The sequence below is a fragment of the Homo sapiens genome, chromosome 5, assembly GCF_000001405.40.
Source record: "Homo sapiens chromosome 5, GRCh38.p14 Primary Assembly".
Lineage (NCBI taxonomy): Eukaryota > Metazoa > Chordata > Mammalia > Primates > Hominidae > Homo > Homo sapiens.
The window spans coordinates 61,346,867-61,372,235 of NC_000005.10; the positions used below are offsets into that span (position 1 = coordinate 61,346,867).

General features: G+C 38.2%; 1 protein-coding gene and 1 pseudogene across 1 annotated transcript in view; both read left to right on the forward strand.

The window, feature by feature from the left end:
* Positions 1 to 25,369, forward strand: part of ZSWIM6 (zinc finger SWIM-type containing 6) — a 213,915-nt gene that overhangs the window by 14,609 nt on the left and 173,937 nt on the right. The window lies entirely within an intron of this gene.
* On the forward strand, positions 260 to 1,032 carry LOC100421309 (DEAD-box helicase 25 pseudogene; annotated as a pseudogene).

Here is a 25,369-nt window from a genome sequence, read left to right on the forward strand (position 1 = left end):
GGGGAAAAAGCCGTTAAAATACTCTATTCATTTTAACAATTTGTAGCAAAGTACTTTTATTTTAAAATGGATGAATTTTTTAAAAAAGTACAGATTCAAGTTTCATTCAAGGTTTTCACTGTTTTCATTAAAATTTTTTGTAGTTTATATTTTAGATGTGTTAGACAACAATTAGTGATATAATAGCTAGTAACTATGAGTTTATTCAAAATTTACTGTTATGTAATTGGGTATGAATTTGTTTCAGTAGCTCATAGCTACTCCGTGTGGCATTTTGCTGAGTGAATTGTACCCATCCCTAAATTACCAAGTTACGCAAAGAGGAGCTGACCTTGAACAACATCTGGCAGTATTACGTGTTGTGCAAGAACAGGAAAGACAAATACCAAGCTCTGTGCAACATTTATGGTGGCATCACCATTGGCTAGGCCATCATCTTCTGTCAGACTCATTGAAATGCCAAGTGGTTGATCATGGAGATGATGCAGGCTGGCCACCAGGTGTCTTTGTTAAGTGGAGAGCTGACCATGGAGCAGTGAGTTTCCATCATTTGGAAGTTTCAGGATGAGAAGTTTCTCATACCAACAAATGTTTGCACTGGAGGGATTGATGTGAAGCAAGTCACCATTGTTGTGAACTTGGATCTCCCTGTAAACCAAGCAGAGGAGCCAGACTATGAGACCTACCTCTGGTGCATAGGGGGCACAGGACAGCTCTAGGAGAAAAAGGCCTCACCTACAACATTATTGAAGCAAATAAGCTGTGCGTGCTTATGAAAATCCAGGACCACTTCAACTTTAAGCATCTGGACCACAAAGATGTGGAAGAAATGGAATATATAGAATATTAAAGAGAAAACTGTATTGTTTGTGAAAATATCCTAATTTATGATAGAATGTCCTGGTGAGTTTTGAAGATAAGTTTTCATGCTGAAAACGTCCACTTTTCGACATGAAACTCACAAACGGCAAAATAAGTGTCATAGTACCCTTGGTTTTAAGACCTGAAGTATTTTTGAAACCAAGTTGATGTTAAGCATGTGATCTTTTTGAATTAAAAAAAAGCAAGATTTGGGCCGGGCATGGTGGCTCACGCCTGTAATCCCAGCACTTTGGGAGGCTGAGGCGGGTGGATCACGAGGTTAGGAGATTGAGACCATCCTGGCTAACACGGTGAAACCCTGTCTCTACTAAAAACACAAAAAGTTAGCCGGGTGTGGTGGCGGGCGCCTGTAGTCCCAGCTACTCGGGAGGCTGAGGCAGGAAAATGGCGTCAACCCGGGAGGTGGAGCTTGCAGTGAGCTGAGATCATGCCACTGCCCTCCAGCCTGGGCAACAGAGTGAGACTGTCTCAAAAAAACAAAAAACAAAAGCAAGATTTAAAAAAGAATGTAGTTTGTATTTTTAAAATAGCATACGTAGGATGAGTCTTGGTGGTAGTGGGTTAAGCCATGGTGGATTAAGCTCTGAAAAACCAAAAAATTCATGTAGCCGTATTTAGATATAGAGAGTTCTCACCCCTACCTCCATTCAGGTATTTGTACTTCATTGGGCTGCTTATTTAATATTCTTGTATAAAAACTTTTCACATCTAGATTTTCCCCCTTCATACTTCCTGTTAAAGATAGGAAACATTATAGTTCAGAATGTAATCTGTAAAAAGTTCAGTATATGACAGTCTATTTTAGGGTCGTTTCAGGGATTTATTGGCTTTACCACATTTAAACTGCTAGTTTAAAAATTTATGAGTTGCTGTTTTCCTCTTCGATCCTTTACAATTGTGCAACAATTAATTTTCTCTTCCTCTTTTGTTTCCCTTGTCTTAGAATTGAGCTTTGAACCCAACTCTTTCAGGAAGCCTTATTTAATAATCCTAAAACATTCTATGTCTTAGATTCATACTGTTTCTTCTTAAAAATCTGTAATAGTAAACCAGATCCATTTAGATAATCTGGCTTCCTTTCTAGATTGAGGGGCATTCTGTCTCTCCAGTGAATGTGGGTAGAACAATCCCTTCTGTAAGGGATTGTTGTGGAGACTGACCCTCGCCTGATTCACGGTCTTTTCCAAATTTGAGAACACAGCTGTGGAACTCATCGTTAATGTAAAAATCGGAGAAAATGAGGGACAGTTTTTTTTAATGAGAAATCAGAATATCCTTTGTAGGATTGTAGATTTCTAAGCATCTTTGATGAAGGAAGCATCAGTTGTCTAATCAAATTGAATCAAAATATGGAGTGCTAACAGATGTAAAAATACTCTACCATACACTGTTATGGAGTAGTCATTTTGAATTTATCATTGTTTAGCAGGTATTTCTAGTCTTGTTTTTTTGGGGTGAGAATTACAGAGCATTTAAATACAAAGTCTTTTTTTGGAGTGAAAGATGAATCTGCTAGTTTGAAAAAAAATTCTGGCAAATTTTAAATCTAGAACAGCCAACTACTGTATTAACAGTGCCAGTGCATTATATGCATAGTAGACATTGAAATGTCACTTGAATGAATGATAGCCTTAGAGTATATGCCAGCCCTGTGGGTGTCTGCATGAAATTCTCTTAATTGAAAAAAATAGCTCCAGTTTCTAATTTCTATTTGATTTTCTGAATGTGAATTGCTGTGGCATAGTCTTTGAGGGAGGTGAATAGGAATATGACTGCTGGATAAGTAGGCTGGTTTTCAGTACTGGGTTTGTCATCAATATATTTCTCCAAATACCGTGTAGGGTTTCTTTTTTTTTTCTTCTCATTTGACGAGACCTTTTCTTTAAGCTTGTTAACTTGCTAGTAGTAGCATCAGGCCAAAAGCTATTCTGAAAGCAATTTATTTATTAGATGATTCCAACTTCTAAACAGAAAGTAACTTGAATATTCCCATATAGAACAGTACTTTTGGGTTACCTAGAAAAATAATTTTGAATTATAAATGCCTTTGTGGGATTAAGTGATTGCTTTTTCCTTCTATTTGATGTTTCATTTTTAAAAGAAATTGGTATAACTAAGTTTAGTTTTTGAAAACTCTCCCTCTCACAGATGATATGCAAAAAAAACACATAACTTCAGAATATCCCACAAGATCTTACACATTGTGAAATGACACTGTCTAATTAATAGGAATGGTTTGCTACACTGGTCTCCAAAATGCTGATGACTTTCTCTTGAGGTAGAATTTGCTTAAGACTCAATTTGCATAACATGGGGTACTCCAGAGCAGTTTTCTGAACAATAATTTAACAATAGGGCTGTACTCTCAGTGCTTGGCCCCTGAGAGGGCTGGGTTATCCAGATATTGTGTGACCACCTGTTCCCATTTGTCCAGTCAGTCTTGGCTTATGTCTCTTTTCCTATACAGTCACCTCTTTCACTTGTACAAGTGTTCCAGTTTGGATAATAAAGTCTATGGTTACCCTAGGCATACATCTTGTTTCTCAGAAGGAAGAGGGCAAGATATAAATCAGTTTAGAATTGTGCGCTATGTGCACTTGTGTGTATAGGGAGAGAGTAAGAGAGGGAAGGTGGTGTTTTTTGGGATTGAAAGGTGACCTTTGGCTTATTTCTGGTCTCCGTCAGTGGGCTCTCCTCAATCTTTCATATATAGGAGATACATTTCTGTCTGTATCTCCTATTCAGACGAAAAGGAAGCAGTTAAGAGATTCTCAGTCTCCATGGGTTTGATGTCACCACCCCTGATTTTTTTTCTCAATTTAAAGATATGTAAATTTTATATTCTTATTTGAAGTTGTATTGTTTTAGCAATCTTAGATTGTTGTTCACAGGTACTGCTTTCATTTTAGGTACTTGCACTTAAGTAACGTATCATTTGCTAATCACATGGTCAGGAGCTTGGGGAAGATACCTGAGCCATTAGGAGGCGTCTTGTCTTACTATCCGTGTGCCTCTAGGCAGGACACTTACTGGCCCTGAACTTCCTCAAGTCCTTATAAAATGGGACTAATTATATCTTTATCACCTCTGTCGTAAGGCTGCTAAGAGGCTCACATGGGAATACATGAAAGTATTTGAATTCTAAATAGTACACAAAAGGGAAATAGATTGTTACACATCACTCCAGTTTTACCTAATTTCCTTCATTTATTCTTCTAGTTTTCTGTATTTTTCAAAAACTCTGTAATCATATATTGATTTCATAATTAGAGAAAGGAAACATTGTTTTAAAAAAATCTGTCTCATTACCATTAAAACACAAATTTCTCTATCCACAGATATATTTTTGTTAATAGTTTATTATAATTGTTGCCTGATCTAGTGCAGCTAAACAGAGCATGTTTTTTATTCATCGAGGTGTATCATGCCTTAATGTCCTAATTTCTCCCTTGTTTTTGACCCTAGTGACTAATGAATTTTTGTCTTCACTTGGAACTCTAGAATTTGCCTGAAAATGGAAAAGGGACAGCTAAAATCAATTCTATGTTATTCATGTGTAGAATGGACAGTTGTGGGCTGACCTCATCACTTAGGGTTTAGTTTCCAGGCTTCCCTGAATATGTACCATGGCAAGTGGAAGATGGAAGAAGATAGAACAACTCTTAGATTTATGTTTGTGAATTCCTTATGTCATATGACTGCACTAAGATCTACATTCCCTTCTTTTGGAAACTTTCATTAATAAATGAAGAGAGTTGGTTAGCATTTCCCCCAATTTAAAGATTTACAAATAAATTATTCAGAAAAATAATTTCAAATAAAATTTTAAGGGCTTATTATGAACTCAAATCTTACTTGTGGTTTTTTCAATTGTATTTTTGGGTATTCTCATAAATCCTTGCCTTGGAAAGTTGTGGTGATATGACCCAGACTACCTATTCCACATTCTATTTTTGCTATCACAGTTTAATATTTTCAGTGAAGTTTAGACTGGATTAGCCATCACATCAAGCATTTCCCCCCTTTCTGACCTGTTAGTGTCCTTTCTGCACTTCTAATTTGTACCATAGAGCGCCATTAAAAAAATTTTATATGCTATGTTTGTACACACATGCATGTGTAAGAGTGGACTTTGTGTATGTATAAGAGTGTTAATCAGCTTGCAAACTTTAGACAGGCAGGGCTCAGCTCTTAGAATCTATATTGCAGCCAGGATGGTGTTGTTCATACCTACCCTGTGCAGAACCTTCAGTGGCGTCCCTTTGTTCAGAGGCCTGAAGTCATTCATGGGTGTACAAGGCCCAGCATGGTCTGGCCTGGACCCTCAGCCACCTTCTGCACAATGTCCTCTCCTGCCTTTCAGATGTGTCTAGGCTGCCCTGCTACCTGCCTTTGCCTATGTTCTTTTTTCTGTCTGGAATGCTCTTCTGTGCTTGGTTCATGCCCTAATTGTCATCTTGGCTCAGAGAAATAATCCTGGCAACAAATTACCTCCTTTGAATCCTAATCATAGTTTTTTGTGTGATTTTTCTTTTTTGGATTGTCCTCTCCCATGAGATTGTAGGCTCCAGGAGAGCAGAAACTGTAAATATGTGTGTGAATATGTATATGTACATCTGTTTGTATCCATGGCTATCAGTATAACCATTTGCACATAGTTGTCTCTCAATAAAAGTTTGTTGAATAAATGGATGAAGGAAGTGGTGTTTTACTTTGGGAATATTTTCATAACTCTCCAGGAGGAGGCATTGCTTTTATTCAGTGGTTCCATCTATCTATTGCTTCACACCCATCACACAAAGAATATGCCAGTTTGAAAAATACAGCCTAGTTTTGTGTGTTTGGCTACTTTGGGCCACTCCCAGATTTTCCAAAGGTACACTTGCATTCACCTTTATGGTTAGAGGCACTTTCTTAGAATCTGAGTTTAAGAAACGGTATGCTATTTTAATTACAGTAAGTACTTTATCAAGGTCAGTTGTCTTAGAATGTGGATTTATATGACATAGTCTCTAATACATTCTGTTTGGCATGTATTACAGGGAAAAACCAAACAGTCCTGTTTGCAGCCAAAGATTGCAAGATGGTGGTAGGTGTGTAGTTAGAGCACGAGACTTTCTTTTGCTCACATGCATAGGTCAGTTCTCTTCTTTCCTGTCTTGTCAGTTCTCTTGGATGAGCAACTGTGTTTGGTCATGGGGGCAAGGCACTGACCTTGGAGCTCATGTGCAGGTCACTGTGGGCCATAGCAAGTCTGCCTGAACTTTTTTTTCCCCGTCTGTTGATCTGTGCATTCTTGCTTATGCTTGAGCTTTTTTTCAGTTTGTTTTTAATCTTTGCTTCCTCAAGTTAACATAAGTAGCAGGGTAGAATGATCTGCCACATGAAAGTCATTTCTGTCTCAAAGTGGTCTTGGAGAAACCTGAAATTTTTCAGTGTCTTGTTTGGGATGAGGATTGGGATGAGCTCTCATTTGAAACACATTTATTTGCCATTTTATATTGTTGCAGCTCAACATATTGACCACCTTTTGGGTAGTACCAGTTCTGTGCTTTACAAGCATGATTTCTAGCTCTCATAACAACTTTGAGGAGAAGGTATTCTCATTCTAAGGCTGAGGAAACAGATATGTTAAGTCACTTGTCAGGAGCATCTGGGAAGTCTGTGCTGGACTTGAACACCTAGGCCTCCCAGCTCTCAAGTGGGATCATGTTGTACTTTGTTTTCCAAGTGTTGCTAGAGGCAGCTTGTCTTTTTGCACATGTGTCATTCACAGTCCTCCTTGGTCTGTGATACCATTCAAATATAGTGGCCTGACCTCTGAGCAGTGTTTCACTACTTCTGAATGTATTATGTTTTATTTTTTTCTCTTTGATAAGTAGTAATGGATGTGTAACCCATTCACGATATAGTACCTTCTTGTTCCTTGGAGCTGATACTACACTCAGTTGAGGGTGACTTTTTCTTTGTTGGACATTTACAAATAATTTCAGTCACAACATTTAGTGACATAAATACTTTGACTTGAAACAATTACCATTTTCTCGATTTTTAGTGGGAGACTGGGGCAATGTGTGTAGGACATCCTTCAGAAACAGATGAGTATAACAAGCTGTGTGAGGCAGTAGAGGTGCACACACCTCAGTTACTGGAAGGCACAACTTCGAGTTCTTGTGGATTGTGTTGGCAGCCCTGTAGATAGATTCAGCAGATGCTGTAGACATTCTCTTACTACCGAATTATAGCTTAAAGACCTAACTCTTAGAGCAAGCCTTAAAATGTGCTTTCCCCGCTTTGTTTTAGGAAACTCTTCTGTTTGCTGATGAGGAAAGGTTATCTTTCCAGGCAGCATCCAGGAATGGTCTTTTGAATGTCTTCATGCCTTCTTGTGACCTCATTCCTGCTGCCATCGTACTTATCCCTGCTCAGATTAACTGCCTGCGTGTTCAACTTTATTCCATAGTTGGATCTACCTGTAGCATTTGCAGCTTTCTGTGTAGACTGGGCACAAGTTAAAAGCTTAGGAAGTCTATATAACTCACCATAATTTTAGCACTTTAACTTATTAAGGTACATGTTTTGGTTATCTGATTTATAGAAGTACCATGTAAAAATCCACCTATGCTGTACAATTGCTGAAATACTGAGTAAGCTCTGCATTTTATGACCAAGTTATAGGATGAATAATTACTCTCTGGAGTGAATGGTTCAAAATGAAATAACTGTATGCCTTAGGTGTGACGTGACACGAGATGTATTTAAGCCCCAAAAGTATGTAATTATCACACTACTCTTGCATAGACACACAAGTACATTTTTGCTTATGGCAAGAGTTTTATGTGCAAAAGAAAACTCACTTTCTGGTAAGCGAAGGAACAGTCCATTATTTTTGAGGGGTTCATAAGTTGTTTGGTATTAGAGGCTCCATTTCAATCCCCCTGCATTTCTTTAGGGTCTAATTTAAATTCATACATCACTTGATTCTAGAGTAAACCATTATCATACCCTGGATTTTGAATATTAAGGACAGTTGAGGGAGTTTCTCAAAGCACCATTTTATGACTTATAGTCTGCCTCTGTATTCAGTGACTTATTATATATTCCATTCTTAGACTGCATTTTGATCATCAACTGTATTAAGGCAATATATGTTGTACTTTATTTTACTTTCTACTGAAAGTAAGAGCTATTTTGTAGTCTATTTAGATTTTTAATTTTATAATCTGGTCTCATTTTACAGATCATGAGTAATTAAAGGTATCTCAAGCTGATTTGTCCTGTTTTTAATTCAGTATTAAAGTATTATTTTAATCACATTAAAAATGTGACTGATATTTTTTGTTTATCACAATTCTACTAGCCCCACTGAGTAACTGCTGCTGTTGAATTAGTGATGGGGTTATATCAGTTTCCCTTGTCAAAGGACCAGATACGTCAGCTTGGGTATTTAGCTTGGTAGTTGTGACTTAGTTTTCTGTTCTCAAGCCCAGGAGATGAGAATTCCTTATTCTGGGTGCCAGTGGAGGCCTACAGTGGCTCCTGGGTGTTCCTTTGGGCTAGAGAAAGTCAAGTTGAGATGCCCCCGGCTTTCAGACTAGAAAAATAAATAGCAGTGATGGTATTGATGTAGCTAAGTGATGTAGCTTACCTGTTTACAGTGCGAATCTCTTGAGAGACTTTAAAACACACACACACACACACACACACACACACACACACACACACACACACACACACACACACACACACTATTAGATGGCAGGAGCCAGAATGTTAACTTAGTTTTGTAACTAAGTGTTAGAGAACAATACATTTAAAGCTTTAAACTTTTAAAAAATATAATTTACAAGTAATTTGTAGAAAAGGATAGTAGATTGCTACCATTATGCTAAATATCAATCTGTTCAGTAAAGAGACTGGCAAATTTTAATTCATCTATAATTTTGCTGTCTGATGTGGTAGCCATGTGGCAGGCTGGAATTGAGATTACTGAAAGTGTAACACATGCACCAGAGTTTGAAGACTTAGTGCAATAAAAAGAATGTAAAACATTATGAACAATTTATTGAAATGATAATATTTGTGTTAAAAGTATTATTAGAATTAATTTAGCCTGTTTATTTTAATTTTTAAAATGTGACTACTAGGAAATTTAAAATTACATAGTGGCTTCATTATTTTTTAATTAGTGCTAGTCTCTAGGCCCTTTGGTCTCATAATAAGTTCTTTCTGTTTATGTATACAATTCAGTTATGATTTGATTACATACTTGATTTTAACTTTTTGCCAGCATAAATCTAAACACTGTAGTGATTCTTAAACCTTAGTTTCAAAACACTGTGTGTGTGTGTCTGTGTGTGTGTTTCGGCAGAGATGGAGCCTTGCTCTGTTGTCCAAGCTGGAGTGCAGTGTCAGAATCATAGCTCACTGCAGCCCCGAACTCGGGTTCAAGTGATCTTCCTGCCTCAGCCTCCCAAATAGCTGGGACTACAGGTGCACGCCACCATGCCCAGCTTCAAACACTTTTTTTAAGTTGCCCTTCACATTATTTGAGACTGTTTTTTATCTTAAATTTTAAGGCAGAAGAACCATCTGCCAATTGATTATTTTGTAGGTTTCAGACTTCATTGGCTGAGTTATTTACAATGAGTTAGAATTCATTTTATTTTCGTAGAAGTTCAGTGGGTTGGTTATGATATTTGGGATTTTATTTCTGGTAAAATACAATGAATGCTATTAATGAAATTATTGAAAGTAAGGGCAAAAACTGCAATTACTTTTGCACCAACCTAATATATTTACTTTAAAAAATCATTCCTTTGGACTTGGCTGTGAAAATTAAAAAAGAGAAAACCCTCATTCCTTAAAAACGTTGGCTTTTATAGTAATAAGCTGTCTTACAGGTTTGATATATATATAATATATATAACATAATATATAATATACATATTTTATATATATAATATATATAACATAATATATAATATATATTATATATATATATTATATATAATATGTATAATATATATATAAATATTTTATATATAATATAAATATATAATTGATAAATAAAAAATATATATTTTATATATAATTATGTAATATATATAATATGTATATAGTGTAAAGACAGAAGAAGTATGGGTTTTCTTGAGTTTCAGTGTTTCTTGGATTTTACTATCCAGTTTATAAAAAGGAGGAGAAACAGACCAACGTAAGATGGTCAATTCTTTGTTTTTTGTAGTATTTTTCAAAATGTAGTCTCCGGTTCAATAGCATCATCATCACCTCTTAATTTGTTAGAGATACACATTCTTGGGCTTCACATAGACATACTGACTGGGAAACTCTGGAGATGGGGCCTAGCATCTGGGTTTTAATAAGCATTCCAGGTGATTCTGATACGCACAGAACCACTGGCCTAATGTAGTGGTCAGGGTCCACCCAGGAAAAGAGAAACTACCCTTAAGTTTTTGAAACAGGAATTCAGTGCAGGGTATTGGTTATTCAGGTTATGCAGCTGAAACAGCAAGGTAGATTGAATGATGAGGGCTTTTAAAGCAGCACGAAAATAATACACAAAGATAATACAGTCACTAGGGTTAGGCTATGGGAATTTAGGAGCCAGGGTTCACCTCAGGAGACTGAAACCTCCTGGTAGGGGCAAGTAGGAGCTGGAGCCATGGAAGCAATGCAGCCATTGCTGGAAACACTACCTAAAGAAGAGATGGAAGGAGTGGGAGAAATGTTGTGAATCCTTCCTTCTCACCTTCCAGTTTTGCACCAGTGCCTCTTGTAGACTGAACCCAGAGAAAAGCCAGCTGATCTAGTAGCCTGAGAAATGGGGTCTGGCAGTGATCAGCTCACTTGAGATATAGAGCTCTCAGAGTGTATCTGTGGGTAAACACACCCAGAACTGGCTCATGTAGTAATTACAGTTTAAAACAAAACATTCTAATATAATTAAAAAATAATCTCAGAATAGAAGACAGTCTTCTTAATGGAATAATCATAGCTTTATGAAAACTAAACCATCCTTTTATAATTTCTCTGTTGGCTAGGGAAATGTTTTCACAAGTGTCTGTAAATTTGGAAACCTTACCTTACACCTTTGAAGGATTAAAAAAAAAATTTCCTGTTTACTCCAGGACCTGTTTTAGCCCTACTCTTCCTAGTTGATGAGTTACCAAGCTGTCCTTGGTTGTTAGCGCCATCTTATGGCAGACGTGGGAAAGTTGCCTCCTCAATTTTTGACAACTTTCCTGGAACATCCCTGGATGGTTTTTCTTATCTCTCCTCTCATTTATTGCTTAAAACTAAGTTCCACCATTTTGTATGTCTTCTTTGCCTCTAGTTATTTCCTTGCCCCCTTTACTTTTCCAGTGTTCTCTTTTTCCTGTTCTTTTTGTTTCAATTGTGATTATACATGGCTGATAAAAGTTACTACAGTGATAGCCCTGTAACAAGGAAAATGCAGCTTGTAGAATTTTAAAGTTAGAAATAATGTCTTGAACCTTTTAAGCCCTTGAAAGGATCTTGAAGATCCCCCAAAATCTGCAAAAAATCATGTATTTCCTCATTCTTTTAAGTTAATGTTTTTTTCCAGACAGTAGTATTTAACTGCTGTTATTTGAAGCAGTATTGTTTTAAAGTATTTATAAGAAATGGAAGCCTAAGAAGCTAACCACAATTTTCCCACTTGATAGGGAACTGTGTTCTGAATTCCAGTTGACTGTCTTAGAATCCAGTTATGTGTTAAATGGTCCAAAATAAAATCTAATATTTACGAATACAAATGAGTCTGGAACATATAGTCGTCTTATATTTAAAAGTTCTGTGTTTTCATTCATTAACTTTTATTCACTTTCCAAATATTAAGAAAATTGTAAATAGGTGAGGAACTGGTATGGTTTTACTTGAGAGCTTTTACCAGTACAAGGAAATGCTGCTAGTAAAAATTTGGAAATGGAGAAGGAGTTCTTTACATTTCTTGAGTTCTGGTGGAAGACCAGTGCTGTTGTTTTGGTTTAAGGTGCTGAGCCAGACGCTATAGAGCAGTGCTTCCCAGTCTCTTTTACCTCATAGCACACAGAAAATAATTTGTACTGCACTGGGGTAGGAGGTGATTTCTAATTGTAGATAAGCTGCTAACAGGCTAGTGATTGGACACTACTGGCTTTGGCTGGCTCAAGAGCTGAGGTTTTGCTGTCTGGGAACTTTAATCTCTCATATGGGGAAGCTCTGCTGTATAGAGGACATTTCAGGTGTAATGAACCTTAGTCTCATTAAGAGCGCAATACATATAACACACATAGTGGTAAATTATGATAGTGATGGTTTGGTGAAATGCTTAAGAAGAATAAGAGAAGTTAGCTCTCAATGAGATGGAAAGGATAAGGCTCTGCAGTGGGAGTGGATCAGAGAGGGCATTCCATCCAGATATGGAGGGACCAAAGGGGGAGTTTGGGGAATGTCAGAGATTTCTCATGTGGTTGGGGTGCAAGATTTGAGGATGCAAATAGGAGACAGGTATAGTGAGAACTACTGTTAAGAAAGAAGGCAGGGGTTCAGGAAGGCCGTATGTGGCTGAATGGACTTGTGACCTTGGGCATCACTGGTAGTTTTTATGCGGTGAATGACGTGATCTGACCGCTCTCCTCCCCTTTAAAAAAATATTCTAGGGCACCTGTAGAATGACCTGGAAGCTGCAAGCAGAGAAATCCCTGGGGAGGGGGAGTGCCTTCATCCAAGCTAGTTAAAGGCGTACACCAGGTGAATGAAGATGGGTGGACTTGCTAAAGAGGGAACCCGCAGATTTTGCTTATGATGTGAAGAAAACCACCTCAGATTTGGAGCCTGGGTGAGGGAAAGGATGATGGGACTGTTTTCAGAATTAGATTCTGTTTGGGAGACAAGGAACTCAATTTTGGATGTGGGTTTGATGCTTGAAGAGCAACAATTGTTAATATTGATAAAGTGCTTTCTAGGGGCCAGGTAGTGATCTAAAGTCTTTACTTTCTAAACTCATTTTATTTTCAAAACGACTGTAAGAAGTAGGTGCTATCAGTTAGTGTCCAGTCAGGAAAATGGAAAAAAAACAAAACAAAACACCAAAAACCTACCATTAGATAGATGTTTTCAGCAGAGAAAGATTTAATGCAGGGTATTGGTTATAGTGATGTTGAAAGGGCTGGAGGAACAAAAAGAAAAAAGTGTGTGTTGGGAGGGTAATGTTGGACCAGAAAAGCAGAGAGAGAGAGAGAGAGAGAGAGGGAGAATGTGTAAATGAATGTTGATTGTTGAATGAGTAAAAAGGAGAAGAGGATGTTATCAAGTGTCAGGTGTCCACTGCTGCATAAAGTGCATGCCCTGCAGGTCTGCTGGAGATCTTCATTGGTTCTGCTGCTTTGGAGCCACCACAGATGATGATGGAGCCTACAGTTATCTGTTGCTGCTGTTGGAGGTATCGCTAGAACCAGGAAACAAAAAAAGGCCCCTTTTCTTTCTCTCACCTTGCAGTCTGTTGACAGTGTTTCCCATGGGTGGAACCCAACTGGAAGCAAGTTGACAAGGGAGTTTGGAAAATATAGTTTATAGACTTCTAGCCCCTTGTAATGCGGAGAAGAATTGAGAACCAACAGAAAAATAACTGGCAGAGGAAGTAATGTTTTTAAGCTTGCTTTGCAGATGTGGAAATAGGCATGGAGAAGGTAAGTAGTTCTCCTAAGGTCACATAGCTATTATTTGGTAGAGTTGGGATGTGAATCCAGGCAGTGTGGTTTCAGAGCCTGTGCTCTTATCTCCTACTTTTTGATCTTGCCCCCACACATGATAATTGTTTGATTTGTCTCCTTACTGCTGAGCACTTCAAATGAGTGGCTGTTTCCATTGATTTTACTTATCTAGCACTTATTTTTATTTTGACTTCTGTTACTGGCTTTAGTTTTTTACCCTCACCTTTGGAATATCTCTCTTCAAGGTCACCACTGATTTTTATAGCCAATACAATGGGTTATTTAAGCTTCTGTTTCTCTTTGATCTTTTCCTGGCTTTTGATAACAGTAGCCATTTATATGGAATTACAACTTTGACTTCTGTGATGTTGAACTTGCTTGTTTTCGCCTTGTCTCACTGAGGCACCTTGGTTTTCTTCTTTCTCTACGCATTCCTTAGACCATTGCCATCTTTTGGATTGAGTTTGAATTTAGGTGTGTTATATAAGAAGCCCCTTAATGTTAATTTTATATTTAAATCAGGACGAATAAAAAGATGAAATACATATATATTCTTGTGGTCTTTTTCCTTGTGTGTGTGTGTTTGTGGGGGAGGGGGGTAAAGTCACAGAGGAGTGGGAGTAGGTCCCAATGTGGACTTTTCCCTGGGCTGAAGGAGAGGGACTTACTTTTGAATACCTACCATGTGCCAGCACTGTGCTAAGTGCTTTAAACACATTGCTTCCTTTTAATTATCCTGTGTGAGATTGGTAGTTACCTTTATTTTACAAATAAAGGTAACTGAAACTGACTTTGTGTGATGAAAAAGTAATAGAAGTGGGATTGAAACCCTCATCTAACTGCTTCTGACAGCCAGGTTCTTTCCTCTGGATCACCTGGAAAAATCTCCAGTTTCTTATCTGTTAAATGAGGAAACTTGGCAAGATAATTTTTAAGGCCCGTTTTTCAGTATCATCCTCCTGATTCTGTAACATACTAATTGTCCTGAGCAGTAGTTACCTCTTTTCTAAGTAAATATTGAAAAAGAAAGTTAGCATCCCACTACAGAAATGTGCTGTATTATTAAGACCAAGAGTACTGACAGGTTATTTGTAAGAAGTTATGAACTAGACAAAGACATTTAAAGTAGTCATGATACTGGATTTTCATGTTTGTTTCCAGGGAACCCCCCTTACCTCCAACTGAGGCTGCTGCCCAGAAGATTAGAAGCTGTGGCTTGTAACGACAGGGGCTCAGGATAAAGCCTTGGGACAACTCCAGTCTAAACAAAAGGCAACCCTGTTATTCTATTATACTTTATGTTGAAAGCATTTGCTCCCAGGTTATTAACTATTATCCTTTCCTCACAGGAAATTTAGTGTGAAATTTGCAAGAAGATCGTGGAAAATATACTTTAAGGACAAGATTCACTGTGGTGCAGTTTGGCACCTTTAGAACGCTAACAGACAAACCTAAAATGATTAACCATTATGTGAGTCTCCCACATGTTTTCACATATGGAAATAGGTGGTTTAAATGGATACCAACATCCTCTCTTGGTATACAGTACTTACCATAAAATATCAAGCGAGTATTCTTAGATATGTATCAGCAAAGTAAGTAAATTTCCAGGCTCTGTAGCATCTTTTACTGTCTTTACTTTATAAACATTCTCCAACCCTTCCTCATTCATGCCTTATTTTTTTAAAATGGGAAATTGAGATATGCCTTCTTACTCACTTTTTTTTTTTTTCTGAGACAGTGTCTCGCTCTGTACCCCAGGCTGGAATGCAATGGCCCCATCTTGGCTCACTGCAGCCTCTGCCTCCCGGATTCAAGCAATTCTCGTGCCTCAGCCACCTTAATAGCTGGAATTACGGGTGTGCGCCACCATGCTGGCTAATTTTTGTATTTTTAGTAGAGATGGGGTTTCGCCATTTTGGCCAGGCTGGTCTCTAACTCCTGACCTCAGGTGATCTGCCCACTTTGGCCTCCCAAAGTGCTGAGATTACAAGTGTGAGCCACTGTGCCCAGCTTTAACTTTTAGTTTTACAGGTTTTCCCTGCAGTAGAAGAAGCTTGCACAGGGAGCCTCAGCTCATGATTTTCCTCCCACCTCTCTGGCCACTCCTTCATTGAGTTTTGGTGCTTCATCCTCTATCTGCCCTCTAAATGTTGGTGTCCCTATCGTCTAAGGCTGGGCACTTTTCTCCTACCTGATGCCCTTTTCTTAGATTATGCCAATTATCCCAAAGCTTTCTGTGCCATCAAGTGATGACTGCAGTTTTTATTTCCAGGTCTGACTGCTCTCCTGATTGCTTGCTTATCTTTTATATCTGTTTAGGTCTGGCAGGCATTTCAAGCCATTTTTAGACTGCTACCCCTGTAAAGTAAGAAAATTTACATCACAACCCAGTACACACATACGTTACTATAAATAACAGAAACAGATTTTCACAAGACAAGACTTATCCCTAAAACATGCCATGCTTGCTGATGTTCTCAATAATACTGTCTCATTTCCATTAAAAAATGCTTTCTGTGACACACAGCATTGGCCTATGACCTCTTAGTGGTTCAGGAACCCACTATTTGAAAAACACTGTTCTTGAGCCACTGTAGATGTTTTTAGAGATGTTGTAGGGAGCCAGCTTACATATTGGAGACTGTGCCCTCCTTTCCCCACCCCACAGGGGGCACTGCCTGCAAGGAAGGTGTTTGATCTGAACCCTCTGAGGCCAATCAAATGGAAAAGGTTTAGTACAGGCTAACAGCACCAGTTTACAAGGCTATCCATACAAGAATGATTACATCAACTCGTGGAAAGTGTCATCATGGAATCAGAGTAACCTCTTGGTTATTTGAAATTGTTTGTTATATAGAATTGGTAAGAATACCCTGTAATCTAGTGACATATAGAACCAGTTTTGAATAGTAACAGAACTGCCTATAAGATTTTATAGTACTTACCTTGCACACTTCTGCTGAGTTCACAAAAGGCTGACTAAACCCTTGTTCTCGGCAATCTCATCTCTGATCCCAAAGTGTTCTCATACTTATTTTAGACTCAACATATTTTCTAATGAAGCTTCTGGAAATAGCTGGTATCATATTACGGAAACTTATTATTGGCACAGTGCCTTAATGATTAGTTGGCTTGGGGGGTGGGGAGAGACCCTAGCTATCAAGGATGGACGTAAAAATACTTTGCTAATATGAGCACTGCTGAGGTTTAAGTCATTCCTGAGGTAAGCTAAAATATGTTTAAAGGTTATTAAAAAGGCACACAGTTTCTCATTTAACATTTTGGTATTAACTTTAGAGGCCAAGAGTTTTAAGTAGTCTCTGTAGGATAGTTTGTTTCCTTCCTTCCTTCCTCCCTTCCCTTTCCTTTTCCTTCCTTCCTTCCTTCCCTCCTTCCTTCCTTCCCTCCTTCCCTCCTTCCTTCCTTCCATTCTTCCTCCCTCCCTCTTTCTTTCTTTTTCTTTCTCTCTCTCCTTCCTTCCTTCCTCCCTCCCTCCCTCCCTCCCTTTCCTTCTTTCTTTTCTTTTCTTTTCTTCCTTTCTTCTTTCCTTTTTTTCTCTCCTTTCTCTCTTTCTTTCTTTTCTGGGTCTCACTGTTTCACCCAGGTTGAAATGCAGTGGCATGATCACAGCTCACTGCAGTACCAACCTCCTGGGCTCAAGCAATCCTCCCACCTCCGCCTCCTGAGTAGCTGGGACTACAGGCACGCACCACCATGCCCGGCCCATAGTTTCTATTTCAGAAAACATAATAGCATACTCCATCCCCTCTAGATTCAAAAGTAACATAATTCTAAAATTGTAGTTGGTAGGTTTTTTGCATATACATGCTTGAATTAGGGCAGCTTAGTATCAAGGATCAGAAAATTATGGCCCACAGGCCAAATCTGGCCTGCCACCTGTTTTTGTGTAGCCTGCAAACTAAGAATGTTTTTTATTTTTATTTTTTAGTGGTTGGAAAAAAAAATCAAAAGAATAATATTTTGTGATGTGAAAATTATATGAAATTCAAATTTCAGAGTCTATAAATAAAGCCTTATTGTAACACATCTATACTCATTAGTTTATGTCTTAGTCCTTTGGGGCTACTGTAGCAAGATACCATAAACTGGATGGCTTATAAACAACAGAAATTTAGTTTCCTATAGTTCTGGAGGCTGGGAAACCCAAGATCAAGGTGCTGGCAAATTCAGTGTCTGGTGTGGGCCCTATTCCTGGTTCGTAGATGACACCTTCTTGTTCTGACCTCACATGATGGGAAGAATGAGGGGGTCATGCATGCCTCTTGTTTAAGGACACTAATCCCATTCATGAGGGTTCTGCCCTCATGACCTAATCGTCCCTCAGAGGTTCTACCACCTAACACCATCACATTGGTAAATTTGGGGGGACAAAAACATTCAGACCATAGCATTTAATGTATTGTCAATGACTAATTTCATGGTCTAATGGCAGAGTTGAGTAGTTATGACAGAAACTTTGGCCTTCAAAGCCTAAGATATTTACTATCTGGCTCTTTACAGAAAAAGTTTGCTGACCCCTGCCCTATTATGGTTCATAGCCTTTTTGAAATGTGACACATGCCAGGCACAGTGGCCCACGCTTATAATCCCAGGATTTTGGGAGGGGAGATCGAGGCTGGCGGATCACCTGAGGTCAGGAGTTCGAGAACAGCCTGGCCAACACGGTGAAACCCCGTCTCTACTAAAAATACAAAAATTAGCCAGATGTGGTGGCAGGTGCTTGTAGTCCCAGCTGTTTGGGAGGCTGAGGCAGGAGAATCAGTTGAACCCAGGAGGCAGAGGTTGCAGTGAGCTGAGATTGCACCACTGCACTCCAGCCTGGGCGACAGAGCGGGACTCTGTCTCAAAAAAAAAAAATTATATATATATATTTTATCAATCAGCTTCTTGGATAGGGAATGGCTGACACCTTGAATTTTGAAAAATGTTTGGGAATGGCAGTTTCTATGGTGTGACACAGAAATATAGCAGTCCTTGATATAGTTGCTGTAATAAGAATGGAACATTCTAAACTTTGTTTCCGATTTGACAGCTCTTTTATTTTTGAGGTATCTCAGATATATTTTGTATGATCCTTCCATTTCACCCTCCCTTGTGTGCTTTTATTTTAATCCATTGAAGACTTTGTCTCACAGTAAACAGTGTGATTATGTTCTCTTCTACCACTTAGCGGTTTTCAGTACTTAGGTTTGTCTAATGGGCTCATCACTGAAAGATGGAGTCAATTCCCTTTGCTGACTTACTAGAGAGTGTGTGCAAATAGCATTAGGTTGGCATAGTGTACTGAAAAGTTCTGTCAGACCACCATATTTGGCAGTAAGTTTGGTAAATGTGTCTAAAATGGGCACATCTGCCCAATACCTTAGTTCCTCTTCTGTAAAGCACCTTAAACCTCCAAATGTATCGTCTATCAGGTGTCTTTTTTTTTAAGATGGTCTCATTCTGTCACCCAGGCTGGCAGTGATTTTGGCTCACTGCAACCTCCACCTCCCAGGCTCAAGTGATCCTCCCACCAGTAGCTGGGACTACAGGCGCCGGGCACCATGCCTAGCTAATTTTTGTATTTTTAATGGAGAGTGGGTTTCACCATGTTGCCCAGTCTGGTTTTGAACTCCTGGGCTCTCAGCGATCTGCCCGCCTTGGCCTCTCAAAGTGCTGGGATTACAAGCGTGAACCACCACACCCAGCCTAAGTGTCATTTTTAATTTCTTTTAACTCTTAGCCAGAAAAGGTTGCATATGTTTTTATGCATTTTTTGAGCAATCTAATATACCAACCTGTACCCACTTTGCCTCTCTTTGTCCTGTATATTTGATTGGATGGGATAGTGGCCGTGCCACGTTTTAGTGTGCTCCAGCAAGACCAAGTTTATGTGTAGGTCTGAAATGTGTGGTATCCTCAGCATTCTTCAAACCTCACAAAGAAGGTGAATAAGCAACTCAAACTCTAAAAAGACAAAACTAGATGTTACAATGTCCACACACTGAAGTTTTTCTCTTAGCTAATTGGAAAGACCCAGAATCTTCTCTTAGAATTTGATATTCCTACTTAGAAATTGTTTTAGAAAGTTTAGCCTTCTAGTTTGTAGTGTATTTAGCTTTCTAGTTTAGCTTTCTAGTTGATAATGTATTTGAAAGAGGCACATGCTGGGTGTGGTGGCTCATGCCTGTAATCTCAGCACTTTGGAGGCTGAGGCGGCAGATGGCTTGAGCCAGGAGCTTGAGACTAGCTTGAGCAACATGGTGAAACCCCATCTCCACAAAAATACAAAAATTAACCAGACGTGATGGCGCACACCTGTAGTCCCAGCTACTTGGGGGGCTGAGGTGAGAGTATTGCTGGAACCCAGGAGGTCGAGGCTGCATGAGCCATAATCTTGCCACTGTACTCCAGCTTGGGTGACAGAGCGATCTGCTGTCTCAAAAAAAAAAAAAAAAAAGGCACAGAAGGCAATGCCTTATATACAGGCACATCCCCAGACAGTGTCAGCTTGATTAAGTGATAGCATGAGGAAGTAAAACCTTTAAAAAGAAAGAAGACTTAAGAATTCAACAAGAGCAGTTTGAGGCCATTTGGTGTGGAGCCATAGCCCCAGACACCTCACCATCCCCTGAGGATTCACTGTGTTACAGCTGAGAGTTTTGATCCCTAAGCGTGAGCCAGTCACTGTTTTCTAGGCATTACGTTTTCTCTTCATAACAATTCTGCAGTGTAGAAATGCTTACATCAGGCCTTAAGTGCCTTTTTTCTTTTTCTTTTTTTTTAATTGGGACAGGGTTTCATTCTGTAGCCCAGGCTAGGTACAGTGGTGCAGTTATAGCTCACTGCAGCCTTGTACTCCTGGGTTCAAGTGATCCTCCCAACTCAGCCTCCTGAGATTACAGGCATGTACCACCATGCTTGGCTATTTCATTTAAACAAAGGTTTTTTAGAGATGGGGTATCACTCTATTGGTCTTGAACTCCTGACCTCAAGTGATCCATCCTCCTGCCTTGGCCTTCCAGAGTCCTGATTTACAGGCATGAGCCACTTTACCCAGGTCCTTACGTGCCTTTTGTTGTTGAGAAGTGCAAGAACATTTTCTCTAGCTTTCTCAAGATTGCATCTACAAGCACAGGAGCTAGGATTTGAACACAGGTAGTCAGAGTCTGGAGTCTATGCTTTCTCCATTATCTCAAAGCCATACAAGAGAACAGGTAGATCACAGAGGCCATATAGTATAGTGGCTAGACTTTTTACCTTCAGATCCCAGTTTTCTTACCTTCTGATTGGTTAACTAATGTTTAGTGCCTCTGTTTCCACATTTATGAAGTACATTTAAAAGTTGTTTGTGGCTGGGCATAGTGGCTCACACCTGTAATCCCAACATTTTGGGAGGCCAAGATGAGACGTATAACTTGAGAACAGGAGTTTGAGACCAGCCTCTGTAACATAGGGAGGCCTCCATCTCTACAAAAAATTAAAAAAATAATTAGCCAGGTGTGGTGGCACATACCTGTAGTCCCAGCTACTTGGGAGGCTGAGGCAGGGGGATCACTTGATGCCAAAAGGTCGAGACTGTAGTAAGCAGTGATAATGCCACTGTACTCCAGCCTGGGTGACAGAGAAAGCACCTGTCTCAAAAACCAAAAGTTTCTACCTACACGGTAGGATTGTTGTGAGGATTCAGTGAGATTTCATGTTTAAATAGCCCAGTGCCCAGCACATGATAAAGAACTCAAAACATGTTAGCTGCTGTATTTTATATAAAACATAATTATTAGTAATTCATAGTAGATAAACCAATAATTCTCCACACTTAAGATAGATATTTTAAAATTTAGAAACATTTTACTCAGTTGAAATAATTTAAAAGTATTCATATTAATTGGTGTAATAAGTTAGGACTTATTTTAGGACTACTGCCAAATGACTATGCAAAATAATTGGCATAGTTATTCTAGATAATTGAAATGTCTTGCTTGATGTAAACAGTAGAAAACAAGAGAGAAAAACCTCTGAGCAGTCTGCCTTTGGTTTTCCCTTATGTTAGCCCTTGAATTTTTAAATAAATTCTTTTAAAATAACGTTTGGGCTTTGGCTCAGTAGGAGGCTTACCTTTTAAATTATCAGTTTGCCTTTTGGGTAAAAATCTATGGATTTTCTATTATGGGGTGTTAGTAGATGAAACAACTCTTACTGCTGGCCAGCTATCAAGAAAGGACATATATCTGGGATGTCATCAGATAATTTTATTTTGATCACATTGCTTGCACAAGAAGCAAGTCAGTCAGCTCTCTGATGGAGATCTGGTAAGGGGAGGAGAAGCAAATGAGAATGTCCTTCACCTTGGAAGTGTAGTTTCTGCTTTGACATCTAGCAGCTGTATGAACTTCTGTAGCTCACTTAAGCTTACCACTTACCACACCTATGATGGGGTGATAATACCTGCCTTGCTTAACTAAAAAGGCTTCTTTGAATATGAAGTGGCATATAATGTGTGAAGGGAGCATGTTGAAAGATACAAAGAAAGGTCTAGATACATTTTAGTTACCAAATAATATTTTGTATGTGATGTCCTTTTTAAACTATAGAGTGTTTACACACATATTCATTGGTGCTTTTAGTGTGTTGTACATCACTTCATTGGGCACTGGATATAGATTATAAGCTTCTTCCTACTATATTGTTCTAAGACCTGAAGACCCAGTGACTTTAATAGCAAATGTAGCAGCCTTGGTTAACTAAAATGCCTCAGTCCCTATTAGAGAATTTATCTTATATAACATTTATTTCAATCAAAATGATCTTTGAGCATAGGTCAGTGAAAGCCAAGTTACTATATTACAGAATTAACTATGTAATTTGGTCATTGGATCAAACTCAAATACATTCTTTCGACATGTCCCAATAAAAGAGCATTCTGTGTTAACCACCACTAACCAAAAGGCCAAATTCTCAGAATCCATTGTAGTAATGTATACTTTATGGTTGGCTACAGTTGAGTATTCCAGGGCTCAGGCTTAGATGACCTGGGGGCTTGCCTGGACTGTTTTGGTTTGGTGCTTTGGGTACCCACCTCTTCTCTCAGAAATACTTTACTATCTTAGAAAGATTTATTTGAAAGTGGACAGCCCTATTTATGTCTGCTTACTTGAGTGGTGGTTTATGATGATCCTGACTGACGGGGCATTAGTTTTTCCCCTTGTATACCTCCTCAAGCACAGCTCTGTATACTTACGTGAGAACCACCCACCATGCGAAAATAAAATGCATCCCTGCCATACCTCAGAAACTGTCAGTCTAGTAGGGGAGATGTTAAGATTTGCAATATTACTAAAAATGATTTTTTTATCTAATGATGTTAGTTTTTTAGATCAAGAGTTAAGTGGTGTAAATGGTTCTTCCTCTTCCCACAGATATTTCACTGGACATCTGAGATGTCAGATTTTACCAAAAAACAAACTACAAAACAGAGGCTATAGCATAAATCAGATTATGGAACATTCCAACTTAAAACTCAAATGGCTTTCCAATTGTATTTAGAATTAAATAACTTCTGAGATAACTTCTAAGACCCTAAGTGAGATCATAACCATTTTTTCTTTTGCATCCTCTGTACAAAAGAACTTGAACTACATCGAACAAATTATGAAACATCCTTATCATTGCACTGTTATTTTTGATTTTTGAAAAAGTTTCAAAGAACACTCAGATTTGTATTCTATTTTAAATTTGCAAATACCCTATGAAATCCTCCCCTCCCATTATTTAAAAGCTGTATAAAAATAATAGAAGCAATGAAACCACATTTTGAAACATGTGCAAGATACTGGGAAATGGGAAAAGTCATTCTATACCATTGTGTTAACCAACCATAGTCACTATTTTAGTGTTTTTCCTCCTTGTATTTCCTATGCATTAAATGCAGGTTTTCATTATTTGTACATTTTTATATCTAGCTCTTTTTGGTTTGACATTGTATGATAAGCATTTTTCTGTTATATACAAGTTATGTGTAAACATAAATAATTCAGTGGATTTATATTTTATTTGACCATTGTCTTATTTTGGACATTTAAATTTGTTTCCAAGTTTTCATTTTATGCATGAGGCTCAGATGGAGTGTCTTTGTGCATGTGGAGTAAGCACTGCCCTTCACTCTGCCCGTATTTTCTTTCGCCTTTAATATAGACTTCCAGAAGAGGAAATGGTGGGCCAAAGGGCATGTTGGATGTTTTTATGGCACTTTCTATGTATTGCTAAATTGCCTACCAGTTTCACACACCAATTGCCAGCAATGGATATTAGCATAGTTTTACAATTTTTTTTTTGCCAATTAACAGCAAAATAAAAAACTAAAGAACCCCTACAAGTTACCTGTTGTTTTAATGTGAAAATTTAAAGTTACTCACAAAGTTAAGTATTTTCCCATATGTTTGCGTATTCATTGCGTCTCCTAGTTTGTGAACTTTACTCCTGTCCTCTTTTTCATCAGTTGGTAAAGGTTGTGGAGGGCCATAGTGGTGGACAGCACGAGCTCTGGGGACAAACTGTCAGGTCTGCACCTGGGCTCTGCCCCAGGGTGGGGAATATGTCCTGGGGACAGAGGAGTGGAATATTTTTTATTTTTAGGAATTCAATTTCTTTCTATTATTTTTTTTCTAAACTTAGAAAAATCCCTTGCCTTTTTAGATGTTTAGTCGCCAGTTCTGAATTTCTTCAAGTTTAGAAAGTTCTTTTACCTCCTTACTCCACCTAGATTTTGTTTTATATTTCAAACTCTTAAAATTGATGACTTTATCAACTATCTACACTTATTATGAAGATGTAACAGGCATTCCTTAGAAATGAAATTTCTCACTTTGAAATTATAAAATTGGCACTGCATTTATAGTAAAACTAGATGTTCAAAAGTTTATTGGGTAATGATGTTTAAATAATTGGCTAATTTCTTTACCTAAATTGCTTTTATTTTAAAGAGAAGCACGTCAGAATTTTATTAGGCATATTAGCTAGTGCATGGCGTGGTGATTTGTTAGGTTTTGGGTATTGTAAGAGAGTTTTATTTGTTTAGAAGTAGTTGGCAAGATATTTATCTTTTGATTTTTTTTCCTAAAGGTGAGTTTTATATAGGAATCTGTACCTCGGGATCACGTGGCTTTGTGTACCAGGCGTCCAGGGAGCAATTAGGAGGGCAATCTGTTAAGTCTTTTGCCTCAGGGCAGAACCATTAGGTGTGCTGTGTATGTGCCTCAAGGGGTGTAAATAACTAAGCTATTCATGTACTCATCAGTTTCCTTTCAAGGCATCTGTGAAACCTTTAATCTGTGGAAGAATCAGAGAAAGTTGACCTATTGTATTATTATCCTCCCTCACCTGAATATTTTGATAAAGTATATTTTAGAATTTACAGATTGGACATTAAGCACATGAACTTTAAATTCCACTTTCCATTTTGATGTGAATGTTCTAAAAGTTCCCTATGATTTAAATGTAAGCAGATCTTTAATGTCTACAGAAGAGATTTTTTTTTTTTGTTGATTTATTATCTTTCGGAGTGAATAAATTCCATTTACTGATGGCTGAGATTTCTCACTGTCATACTACAGAAATGAGCAGCATTCCAGTTTGTTTCCTATATTAATTTTGGGGCATTATTGAAAAGAAATAATCATTCGTTTCCCTTTCTACCATTGCGCATAAATGCCATTTAAATGTGGAGAAATCTCTTCCACCTTAAAAAAAAA